The following is a 12,529-nucleotide window of genomic DNA, read 5'->3' as shown; positions in this document are numbered from 1 at the left end:
TTAGCCGGGCATGGTGGTGCATGCCTGTAATCCCAGCTACTCAGGAGTCTGAGGCAGAAGAATTGCTTGAACCCAGGAGACGGAGGTTGCCTCCCACAGGTGGGATCCACGTTGCTGCACTTTCTACCTGACTCACAGATACAAATGGCTCCGGGAGAGAGATGCTGGCTGCTGTTGTGCTGGTAATACCCTAAGGCAAGAAGTGTAATATGCTGTCACTTCCTCTTTTTCACTCACCCTCCTCGGACTCCATATTGTATTTGATATTTGTTTCCCCCTTCAAGGATGCCCTTAAAATTCATTTGTGTTTGCATTCACCTAGATACAAAGACTGGTGGTGGTGGTGTGTGTGTGTGCACACATGCACATGTATGTTGGAAGAATGATGTGGAGTTTGAGCAGATTGTTTTCATTACTGTGGGCATTTCTCAAGCATGCCCATGAACTTTACCCCTGGATGATAGTGCCCTGGTATGAGCTGAAGGGTAAAGTTAGAATCAGCATAATTCAGGCTTCACAGGGCGGGCTTGGGAAGAAACAATGATCACAAATGAAGAGACTGAGCACAACTAAGAACACTACCCAGTAATTTTAGAGCTGGTCACCAACACTATAGTGATGCATAAGAAGCAGGAGACATGGTCCATGCCCTCACAAACCATCTGGTATAATTGCTAAGACACAGCACACAACGGAAATAACATCAGGTAGCAGGATCAGCAGACATATTCCATGTAGCTCCACAGGAAACATTGGGAGGCAGATGGAGATTAGGTAAAAGGATGGGCTTTTAATTATTAGATCTGTTCAACAGTGGAAGAGGCTGCCTCGTGGGGTGCTGAGCTTCCTCCCAGTAGAGGTGTTCCAAGGTGGGATGCCTCTTTATCTGGGATGCTGCAGTCTAAATGGAGTTTAGACTGCATGGCCTGCTCCCTCTTAGAGTCTGAGACTTTGCAGCTTTATGCCTTTTAACTGACCTCACATTTTGAGAGGTATGTAAGCCACACGTGGTGACAGCAAAGGCTCGACCAACAGGTTGGAAGTGCTTACTAGACTAAGAATTCATCCTCGGGCTGTGCATCGGGATCTGTGTCTGACTAGGAAGAAAGCCTGCTAAAGACTTCACTGACTTGACTGCTTCAGGGCTGCTCTGGGAAAGTGGTTTCAGACGTCTCTCTTCATAGGCAGGTGTCAGCCAAATGTGTGGCAAGTCACCTCACCCTGGGAGGCGCTTTTATGCCTAAAGCCTGGGGAAGCACTAGAACTAAAACACCGCCTGAGGGAATCTGCTGCAGGTTTGGCTCTGCAAACTTTCCCATCCAGCTAATGAGGAAGGCCTGATTGAAAATGGCAGCGGGAAATTAAAAAACAGAGGAAGCAGCTTTAAACATAGCAACCTCTCACCTGCTTCACTAAGGCTAAGCTGGGTCCTAATATACCTGTGAGGAAAATGAGGCTCAGAGATATTTGAAGACACCTGCTTTAAGGTTTTCTGAATTGCACTGTGGGCTTGGTACTAGAGTTATGTTCCCCAGGCTTGGAAAGAGTCTTCTTAATGGTCTCAGGGGACCACGGCTCTAATGAAAGCAAAAATCACCTTCCAGCCCTTCACAAATCCAGAGTGAAATGCATGGAGCCAGACTGAGCACCATTATATGATAAACTAGTACTTAAATTTCAGAGGTCTCAGGGGGTATGACAGAGGCAGAGAAGAGTTCTGCTTCTTGCTGATGCAGTTATTGGCCACGGTCTTGTTCTTCGCCACATATAAAGGAATTATTACAATGATTCATATTCACGGCTGATCCAGTTTAGCTTTCCATTGCCAAGTTGCCAACAGGTTCCCCCCAGGGACTCTTTTGGGGGTGAAATGGGGAACTGGACCCTGAAATCAAGCTCAAAGCAAGCTATCGAACATTTATTGAGAGCCTAAAAGTTAGGTATAACTTGGATTATCTTAGCAGCAATTTATACAATTATGGCTCTGCCATGAGTCATACATTTGGTTTCCTTCATGTCCCACCCTTTGGGGAAAATGTTTAGTATGTGAGTGTCTATATGAAATAGGACAGCTTTTTATTTGCCTTCAATAGTGAATTGTCTCAACTTTACTTCCCTCAACCATGGTCTATATGGTCCTCCACTCTGGCTTAAACTGGTAGTGGAGTCCGCTTTGCCTCAGTTTTTCTGGCAGGGGATCTTGTAGATTGGCAAGGTGCCCAAGATAACCCTGGGATTGTTCTCAATCAATAAGGTTTTGCTATGCTCCAAATGACTTGGGATTAAACCTTTCGTTTACTCCAATATAAAGAGACTCGACATATTAACTGCTCAAGACCAGGTGTGGCTTGAATAGCTCTTGCAGCAGGTTACTTAAAAGTTTCCTATGCCCGGGAGATACACCAGAGCAAAGCTGCAATTTTGTTAAACTTTGTAGGAGTTCAAAATCCAAGGCTCCCAAGGCTCTGATACATATCCCTCCCCCAACCCCCACCCCCACCTCCGTCCCCACCCCCACCCAGCATCTTCATCATTCTGGGCTCTCCATTCTCTCTCCTCTTTTCTCCTTGTTGAAATATGTTTCCAATCTTCCAGGCCTCTCAAACGCATCGGTGTTTCCTGCTTCAGTAGTCCCGGTGGAGTCACTCATTCTTTATTTAATGTATTCCACACTTTAAATGGGCCTGTTAATTACTCCCTCCTCACTCTGAATTTACTAATTTATTGATCAAATTTCTTTTTGTGCATGTGAGTTTTATTTTGTATGTGCAAAGAATTTATTTGGATCAATTTTATTGACCCCCTCCCACCCCCACTTCCTGGGATATTTTCCCAAACTTTAATTAAGTCTCTGGGAAGTCTCCTTGCTTAAAAGGGAGCTTCTTGCTTCCTCCTTTGTGATAGCATCAACGCTCCAGGCTAAGGTCGGTCTAACCACATTCTCAAGCAGGGGGATAATTTAAAGGGCAACTCGGGGGAAGAACTAGGGCAGGGGTTCTCAAAAGTATGCTCCTCAGAACATCAGCCCTGGTGTCACCTGGGAACTTGTTAGAAATGCAGATTCTCAGACTCTACCCCTATCTACTGAATTGGAAAGTGGAGTGGGATCCGGCACTGTTTTTTGTTGTTGTTTGTTTTTTGTTTTTTTAGACGGAGTCTCACTCTGTCACCCAGGCTGGAGTGCAGTGGCGCGATCTCGGCTCACTGCAACCTCCCCATCCTCTGTTCAAGTGATTCTCCTGCCTCAGCCTCCTGAGTAGCTGGGATTACGGTCGTGCGCCACCACGCCTGGATAATATTTTGTGTTTTTAGCAGAGACAGGGTTCACCATGTTGATCAGGCTGGTCTCCTAACCTCGTGATCCGCCCACCTCGACCTCCCAAAGTGCTGGGATTACAGGCATGAGCCACCGTGCCCGGCCCCTGCACTGTTTTTAAGAAATCCTCTAGGTGATTCTGATGCCCATTGAAGTGTGAGAACCATTGCTGTGGTCCAGGGTTTGTCAGCTTCGATGCTATTGACATTTTGTGCCAAATAATTCCTTGTGGTGGTGGCTGTCCTGTGCATTGTAGAGTGCTTAGCCTAGTGGCCCGTCTTAACTGGGTGCCAGTGGCACCCCCCAGTTGTGACAACCAACAACATCTCTAGACATTGCCAAATGTCCCAAGGGGGATAAGATCATTCTGGTTGAGAACACTGAATTAGAAGATTCAAATCACCCTCCCTTTCCTCTTTAGAATCATCTCTTCTTTATTTGTCTTGGGGACCACATACATAAGACAAAAGTATCCATGAGGAGTTTCTCACAACTTCTAGCATATGACCGTGTTTCATGCTTCACATATATATATTTTCTGTCCCCAAGTACTAAGTACTGTGTCTTGGACTAGGCCAATAATAAGCCCAAAAGCCCAATTTGTTTTAACAGTTCATTTAACCACCTAGGATTAATGCCCCATTCCCTGGCCTTTATACAAAATTCCTGAACTTTTCCAGAGAGAGATCTGATTTTCATTTCTCTTAGAGACTTGAGATTATTTCCAGGCTGTGAAAGAATTGGGTGGAGGGATTCAGATAATGTCATCACTAAGGAGCGGGGTGGGAGTAGGGACTAGGCAGCAGCTTCTGCTCATGCCCCTCTCCTTGCTGAGAATGTCAAAGTATCACTGAAAAATGACAGAGGACAGGTGAAAGTTACAATCAGTGCCTAGATTGAATGGATCAGGTGGAATTAATTTGCTTTTGGCGCTAAGTCCTCCTATCTACTGTAACCCACTTCCTCTATGCACACCCACTGCCTTCTTTCCCTCCTTTCTTCCATGGCAAACCTGCCCTTCACTCCCATGCCTGAGTGACTCCATCTCCTCCTCTCACGAAGTACCACTACATGTATAGGGGCCAGAATTCAGATTTAGGGAGGTGCTGAGCATATGGTAATGCCACTGTCAATTCCAGCATGTGGTCCACTGAGACAAGCACCAGTTACAGGAGCAGTCATGGACACTTGCCTCCCACTGCAGAAATATGCCAGAAAATGTAGTGGTTTTTTTTCATAAGGCCAATCTGGGAGATGTGTCCACCCTTAAGCTCATGGAGCATTCTTTTCCCACCCAGGCCAGTCAGCCAGTGAGCCAATTAAGAGGCAGCCAGCTGGAAGGATTTCCACAGTGCCAATCTAGATGGGCCCTAAAACATTATTGGAATAAACTAGCAATATCGTGCCAGTTTACTCAGGTTTCCATACACGACTTCACGGAACTAGTGACGTGTAAATTGGTTCTGCGCTTTCCAAAACTGATAACATCCTCAAGTGAAAATTAAAAAGAAAAACCAAACAAACAACACTACCACAAACTCACTTTACAGTCCAAATCAGTTGAAATTTTGACACCTAATTTTGACACCTAATAATGTATGGCATAGTGCTGATAATAACAGCAAAAGATTCATTAATTAAACTTTAAAATCCTTTAGTGTGACTCCCAGGAAATTGTTTGGCTCAGAAGTTTGCAAAAGAAAAATGGAGAACATGAATGAAGACTAGCAGGAAACATGCTGTTAAAATAGCTTCACAGTGAAAGTAAATTATTAAATGACTGTTTTTATTAATAAAGAATCAGTTTTCCCACCCCTGTTAATGTTAAACAGATTTTTGAAAGGCATGTCCAAAGCAATCCCAAGTCTCAGGCCTTCCCTGCTCAGGTCTGCAGAAAGCAGCTAAAAATGCACTGTATTCATTGGCTCAGGGAATTAAACCTTTCAGGCTCCTCCTGCACTCTCACTGCCTGCACTGTGCCTTGCTATGTGTGCATCTGTGTTTTCAGACACCCCTTGGGTTTCTGTCTTGGCTCTCCTTTCTCACCTTGCTTTCTTTAGACTTGGTAGCCTGGTTCCCATAGAAGCCGCCAGTAGGAATTGCCCCATGCTTCCAACTTTAGAAATGCTGTTCGTATGCACCTGCGGCAGCAATGAATCTCGGTCTTAAACTCAGGTGTGCATAAAATGTAGCTTTCTTAATTTTCTTGAAGTTGTAGTGGTAAAAAAGAGTGGGGACTCAGAATATTTAATTCTTTACTGTTTATAAGAAGTGTATTATGTGAAAGATGTAGAGAACTATTCACTAGCTAGAGGCTGGGCCACACTACACTCTAGATCCTTGCGTCAAAATTGCAGGCTGTCTTTTATACATGAGTATAAGCTAAGATTCTGTTGCAAGCATTGTCTCCTGATAGTGGGGGATGGGTATTTTTGTAATCTTCAGCTAGAAAAGGTGAAGCGCTGTGATACTCAGCAAAGTGCAAGAAATAGACATTAGTTAACAAACTTCCAAAAGGTTATTTAAAAGTGGTACTGATAACATTCATTTGAAAAGGAAAGGAGGTCACTGTGTTTGTCTGGTGAAACATTAGGGACCTCTCATTTTGCTGACACTGTTTCTCTTCTAATCATTGACATGTGATGTCTTTTATTATAGGAGCTAACTTCCTCTTATAGTCTATCCTCTGTGGATTTGTGAGTCCACACATTTTTACCTGTACATGAACTTGGCTATGAATGTGCCTTGCCAAGGATTACACTTGTTCATCATCACCATGAGAGACATTCCAGGGAGATGAACGTGGTGGGATGCAGGAAAGAAACACCTTCCTGGTAGATGATGGCAAAATACAATAGTAAGCAAGGTGAGCACTGTTAAGAAGACTTGGCTGGTATTAGCTCAGTTGGTTCCCAGTTCATATAATTAGTCCTGGAGTTATCTGTCCATGCACTTCTTTGAGACTTCATTGTGGTCTTCACCTCAGTGAATCATGGGTGCCAAAAATGACTCCCTTATTCCTTCTAGACTAAAGATGACACAGGGCTTTGGAACCTAAGGATTCTCATCTAGCCTTTAATATCTTAATTTGTATCTGTATGTTGCTGAGGAGTTAGATTTGCCCTGTTTTGGCGGGGGTTGTGGTTTGAATCCTTGCCTCTATGGTTCACAGGTGGGGAAAAGCTTGCAATTAGGTATATGTTTCTGTTGGGTGGTCTGCAGTCCACACAGCTGTGTATGTAGGTGGGTCCAGGGAACTTTGAAGGATCCAGCACTTCTGAGTTTGAGGTGGTTTGTTCTCCAGAATTTCCTGCATAGACCTAGTCCCCTGGCTGACATGGATATCTTGGTGTGAATTCCCATGTTGGTCTGTAGCCTGAACACATACTGAAAGGAACTGTAGACATTAGCTCTCAACTTTAAGACTGCAATGTATCCTTCAACACTGAGGGCAATCGCTGGACTACTAGCTAGAGGACAATCTCATGAAGGCTTAGTGCACAGTTCAGTGACTTGCAGCCCACAGGAAGTTTACTTCTTTTAAATATTCAAAATTTGAAGGGGTTTAGGCCTCTTATTAAGGCCTGTTTCATGGCAGAATGTACTTAGTCCTTGCTTAATGTTGCACATCTTGCCTTTGCTTCCACTTTGCAAGAGTTTTGAGGGTGGTAAAGAGTGTGTGTCTGAAATTTGTTTTTTACAGCTTTAGATACGTGGTGAAAATTTTGTTCCATAAAATAGAAGCTTTGGTCTGATTTCATATTAAGAGGAATTTTCCAGTGAAAAAATGTATTCCTGAAGCATTAAAAGAAAAAATCAGTAATAGCACTATCCTCCTATTGCAGAGGAAAGCCTTGGGCCATCCAGAAAAAAAAAAAAAGGCACATTACAAGTTAGACATGGGAGTATCCCACTATCTGAAAACAGCCAATAAAATCAATTTGCAGGTGGGTAAAGGGCCTTCAACTCCAGTTGTGTCCTATATCACATTTGTTGCAATTTCCCTGCATTACAAGTAGCACAAAGACTAGCTAACATATACTGAGAAGAGGTAATATTTTAAAATCCCAGTATAAATTTGGTATTTTCTATTTATTCCATCATCCGCTGCCCTTTATTCATGGGTATCCTATGGGGGGAGGCTTGGGCTAAGATGGGAGGAAGGACTCAGAGGCCACAGGATTCCTGGCAGGATATGGTAAACAGGCTAGTGAAGGCAGGCTGCTGAGGAACTGTCAGCAGTGAACACTGTCCAAGCAGTGTTCCTCTTGGTGAGGCCCCATTGTGGGGATGGGGCAGATAGGACTGGGGACAGGATAGAGGGCTGACAGTCCATGTGTCTGTGCAAAAAGCAGTGTTAGCAGCTGCCCCACCTTGAGCGTGGCCCTTTTAAGTATTTTAGTGGTCTACTAAGCAAATCTGCCTGGGAACTAAATACTTTTTAAAAATTAAATCTATGAAAATAACATGCCTGAAGATCTTAGATGTTTCAGTACTGAAAATTTATTAAGATTGCACTTTGAAATCATAACTGTTAATTACACATTCCATATTATATTTACATGGCTGTCACAAGGTGAATTCTCTCATGTATCACAAATATATAATCAGATATACAGAACTTCCTTCTTAATACAAACATATAAATACAATAATTTACTTCTTTTAAACATCTCTATACCTAATTTTATATTATTCCACCTAGGGAAGAATTATCATACCAAATCAATGAGGATATTTGCTGCCAAAGGCTTAGGCATGGAGGCCAACTGGATTCTCATCCATGACCCTGATAGGACATCCTGAACCCCATTTATGTTGTTTTAAGAGTGATTCCATAACCTCAAGAGGTAAGTGATCAGTGACTTAGCCCATTTCCCTGGGATAATGTTATTACATTACATAATAAGTCTGTAGTTTCCATCCGAGTTGATAAAATCTTACGATATTGTATTGTATTTCTCCACACTCTAAAGAACTTGGAAGTTGATGGGTTCTTGAGATATGTTAATACTTTTCCCATTGATTCATATTCTTAGGGCCATACATATCTTAAGAATACTTACATTTATATACAATTGAATTCCAGATATTTCATTTTGCTTTGTCTGACTTGAGATCGCAGTTTATTGGCCATTCTGATATTCCCCTGGCATCAGAAATTGCCCTTCAACTGATGTATTTACTAGTTTCTATATTCTCTATTGATACAATAAATTAATCAATAATGCCTCATGAATGAGAAATAAAACTCCATAGAAATGCATTCTGTTCTGTTTTTGTTTGTTTGTTTTTGTTTTGAGACAGAGTCTCACTCTGTCACCGAGGCTGGAGTGCAGTGGCACTGTGTCGACTCTCTGCAACCTCCGTCTCCTGGGTTCAAGCAATTCTCCTGCCTCAGCCTCCCGAGTAGCTGGGATTACAGGCGTTTACCACCACGCCCAGCTAGTTTTTATGTTTTTAGTAGAGATGGGGTTTCACCATGTTGGCCAGGCTGGTCTTGAACTCCTGACCTTGGGTGATCTGCCTGCCTCGGCCTCCCAAAGTGCTGGGATTATGTAGGCATGAGCCACCGTGCCCGGCCATTCTGTTCTATTCACCTACTTTTGAAATCATTTCTTATGGTTTCTTTTTGTGTATCATTATGGGAGCATGGTTTTTCATAGACTTACTATATTTCAGTCACCTATAGTAATTATTTTCTTTTTAATGTGGAAGACTTTAAAAACTTTTGCTCCATTCCTTATAACATGACCCACTACTCATTGAAAGTTTTGTTGCTTTCTGGTACAATCATATTTTCCCCGCTCCCCTTGTACCTTTCTGCCCCAGACATGGAATCACTCATGTTTGAAGGAGTCATGGTTCCTTTCAGTGAAAGAATAGTATCAGAGACCAGAATCTGAATGCTAAGGGGGCACTGTATGGGTATCACTGCTCTTGGCTCATTTCAATGAACAGAGCTAGAAAAGGTTTGTGATTTTTCTTTTTTCATATTGTTATTTTACATTTATCTCTTATGGTGCAGAATTCCTAAATTTTTGATTTTGAACACAGTAAATATAGTTACTTATTTGATTAATCTGGTTAAAAAAAGAATTGTTTAAAAATAACAATATAATATTAAACAATAAACCTACAAAGTAAAGTTCAAGATTTTCTATACAGTTCTTTTTGTTCCTAGCTGCATCCCACTAAGAATGTATGGTCAGCTTTCTTTATCCGAATCATCCATAACTCCTCATTCTGTATGGTTAAATAAGTATCTGATATCTTCATTCAATTATTTGTTTGCTTTCAATTTGAAGGCTTTGTCTTTTAGTAGTTGATATTTCTTTCTTTCTTTTTTTTTTTTTTTTTTTTTGAGGGGGAGTCTCGCTCTGTCACCCAGGCTGGAGTGCAGTGGCACGATCTTGGCTCACTGCAACCTCTACCTCCTGGGTTCAAGCAATTCTCCTGCCTCAGCCTCCCGAGTAGCTGGAATTACAGGTGTGTGCCACCACGCCTGGATAATTTTTGTATTTTTAGTAGAGACAGGCTTTCACCATGTTGGCCAGACTGGTCTCGAACTCCTGACCTCAGGTGATCCATCTGCCTCAGTGCTCCCAAAGTGCTGGGATTACAGGCATGAGCCACCGCGCCCGGCCATTAGTTGATATTTCTTAGTTTTCAGAAAGTGAAGGCTTTTCCCGGTGGAGGTAGGAATCAAAGAAAATGGAGGAGTCCCCTTACCTGTCTAGACGGAGATGATAAAAAGATTCAGATGCTCAGTTTTCAAGGTTCTGTTTAATATAACCCGGGGGAATGAGCTAAATCACTGACTACTTCACCCCCTGAGGTTATGGAATCACTCTTAAAACAACATAAATAGGGTTCAGGATGTCCCATCAGGGTCATGAATGAAAATCCAGTCAGCCTCCACACCTAAATCTCTGGCTCTGGCAGTAAAAATTCAGATGCTGTTTTCAAGGTTCTGTTTCATGTATAATGGTACATGATTATTTGATTTTTGGCTGAATAATTCTGACTCGTATTATTTAATTTCTAGTAACATTAGAACCTCACATTTTCACATATTCAGTTGAACTCTACTGAATTCTATATTTATCTTAAAACTTCTTAACTTCTTATTTTCTGAGCTACATGTTCTTCTCTTTTTCATAACATTGCAATGATTCCTTAAAAACTATGTATATCATACTATGTACTGATAACCAGTTTGCAGTTTATGACATGATTTTTCTAATTAGTATTATTTTAATGCAGTGATATTCATAGTCTTTACTCTTCCTGCTGGAAATCAAGATGATACCTAGAATTCCATATAATTAATAAAAGCAGTACTTGTAAATATAAGTTCTGAAGGTTTTGCCCCCAAACCCTCTTTTGATTCCTGGCTCATCACTCTGATTTTACTTTGCATATATGTACCAGTATCTTTCTTTTAATTGTATACATTACCGTTGTAGAATTTCAGTTTCTTAGAGGCTTCTGGATAAATACCTTATTGCTATATGAATTCAAACTGCTAAAAGCCAATTAAAAATGTAAGAAAATAGAACCAGATTATATTAAAATATAGTAATTCCTGAAAAAAATACATCTTTAAAATTTTTTCAGAAGCTTTAAGTTGACTTTTTCTGTAGATTTGAAACTTTCCCAGATTATCTGTTTCTTCTACAATTTATAAAAGAGGACATTTTTAGAATTATAGCAATTTCTACTGAGATTCCATGGTTTATATTTCATTTACATAAAGCTTTAAGTATTGTGTTTAAGGGCAGAAATCTAATCCTTGCATCAGATTAAATATGCTATGCCCTCGTTCCCAATTTTGCTTTCTGTAGGTACTGCACAAAATTGCATTTTTTTTATTTTTTATTTTTTTATTAAGACAGTCTCTCTCTGTCGCCTAGGCTGGAGTGCAGTGGTGCGATCTTGGCTCACTGCAACCTTCACCTCCTGGGTTCAAGCGATTCTCTGATTCTCCTGCCTGAGCCTCCTGAGTAGCTGGGATTACAGGAGCGCGCCAACAAGCCTGGCTAATTTTTGTGTTTTTGGTAGAGATGGGGTTTCACCATGTTGGCCAGGATGGTCTCAAACTCCTGACCTTGTGATCTGCCCGCCTCAGCCTCCCAAAGTGCTGGGATTACAGGCGTGAGCCACTGCACCCAGCCGCATTTTTTAATATTAAGGTAAACTGAAAACATTTCCTATTTTCTTATACAATGTACTTTTCACTAATCTTTTAGAATTTAAAAGCTACTCAATACTAGATTCCAACATAAATTATACATATTTTAAAAAACAAAATTCAAAAATGAATATTTTATACCAAATAAGAAATTTAAAATGAACTGACACATTAAGATTAGAAAGAATCTTGCAATGTACAGATTTTGTCTATGTCTCATGGTTTGTCTCTGCTTTTTTGGTACTTCCTGTCTGAAATGTGGGATATTTGTCTCTTCTTGTCCCTTGGACTGAGAAACACCCATAAGCAGTGCACCTAGTTAAGAGACAGAAGACTACACCCATATTTTTGAGGTCCTAGTGGAGAGTATTCACTACAAACTTACACTGACAGTGTAGATTCCTACTTGAAATGACAAAGCCTTTCTGAACTGAAAAGCGTTCCTGGCAGCGGAGGGGAGGTGAGGAGGGAGGATGAGGTCTTAGTAGGTGTGCACTCAGCCAACATCTCATCCATCATTTGGGGTCTGTGTTGCATTTTCTTCTGTAAGGACTTGCTGTTTCCTCACTTGTAACCAGAAAGTTGGGAGTTCTGGATTCCTCTTTTCGGCAGACCCGTAGATCTCACTCTCTGGCATCTTGCTGCTGCCCTGCAGGCAGGGTGAAGAAGTAGGGTAGAGAGCACTCCTCTCTCCTATCTTACTTCCCCCAAATTGGGGAAAATGGTCTTCATTCATACTTCAGGCTAAGACATTTTGTTTTTACCAGAGAATCCCTTTCTCCTAAGTGTTTCAGCTTTGGGAACTTAAAAACCAGAATGATTTGCCAGCTAGTTATGTTTTTTACTCTGCCGCACACCTCTCCTGAGAGTAAGCAAAGAGCTACTTGTTTGAATAAAGGGAAGGGAGAGGGGGAAATGCCAGGATGAATCTACTCCCACCCTGTAGATTACCAATAATAATTATATATATATACCAATAATAATTATATATATATATATATATATTTTTTTTTTTTGAG

The 12,529-nt window shown here is 41.3% G+C and overlaps 1 long non-coding RNA gene across 11 annotated transcripts in view; it reads left to right on the top strand.

Annotated features, from left to right (window-relative positions):
* The window catches only part of LOC124905213 (uncharacterized), a 275,363-nt gene that overhangs the window by 145,917 nt on the left and 116,917 nt on the right, over positions 1 to 12,529 (top strand). For 6 of the 11 annotated variants that reach the window (XR_007068324.1, XR_007068325.1, XR_007068316.1 and 3 more), the window contains 2 exons: positions 5,975 to 6,182; positions 8,022 to 8,166. This is a non-coding gene — a long non-coding RNA (uncharacterized LOC124905213). Of the gene's footprint in view, positions 1 to 5,974; positions 6,183 to 7,019; positions 7,136 to 8,021; positions 8,167 to 9,148; positions 9,663 to 11,232; positions 12,487 to 12,529 lie in introns of those variants that run through there. The other 5 variants (XR_007068322.1, XR_007068326.1, XR_007068320.1 and 2 more) reach the window with 4 other exon arrangements.

This window comes from Homo sapiens, chromosome X, assembly GCF_000001405.40.
Source record: "Homo sapiens chromosome X, GRCh38.p14 Primary Assembly".
In the NCBI taxonomy this organism is placed as follows: Eukaryota; Metazoa; Chordata; class Mammalia; order Primates; family Hominidae; genus Homo; species Homo sapiens.
Note: the sequence above shows the minus strand (reverse complement) of the source record. Positions and strands in the feature narration are given on the sequence as shown.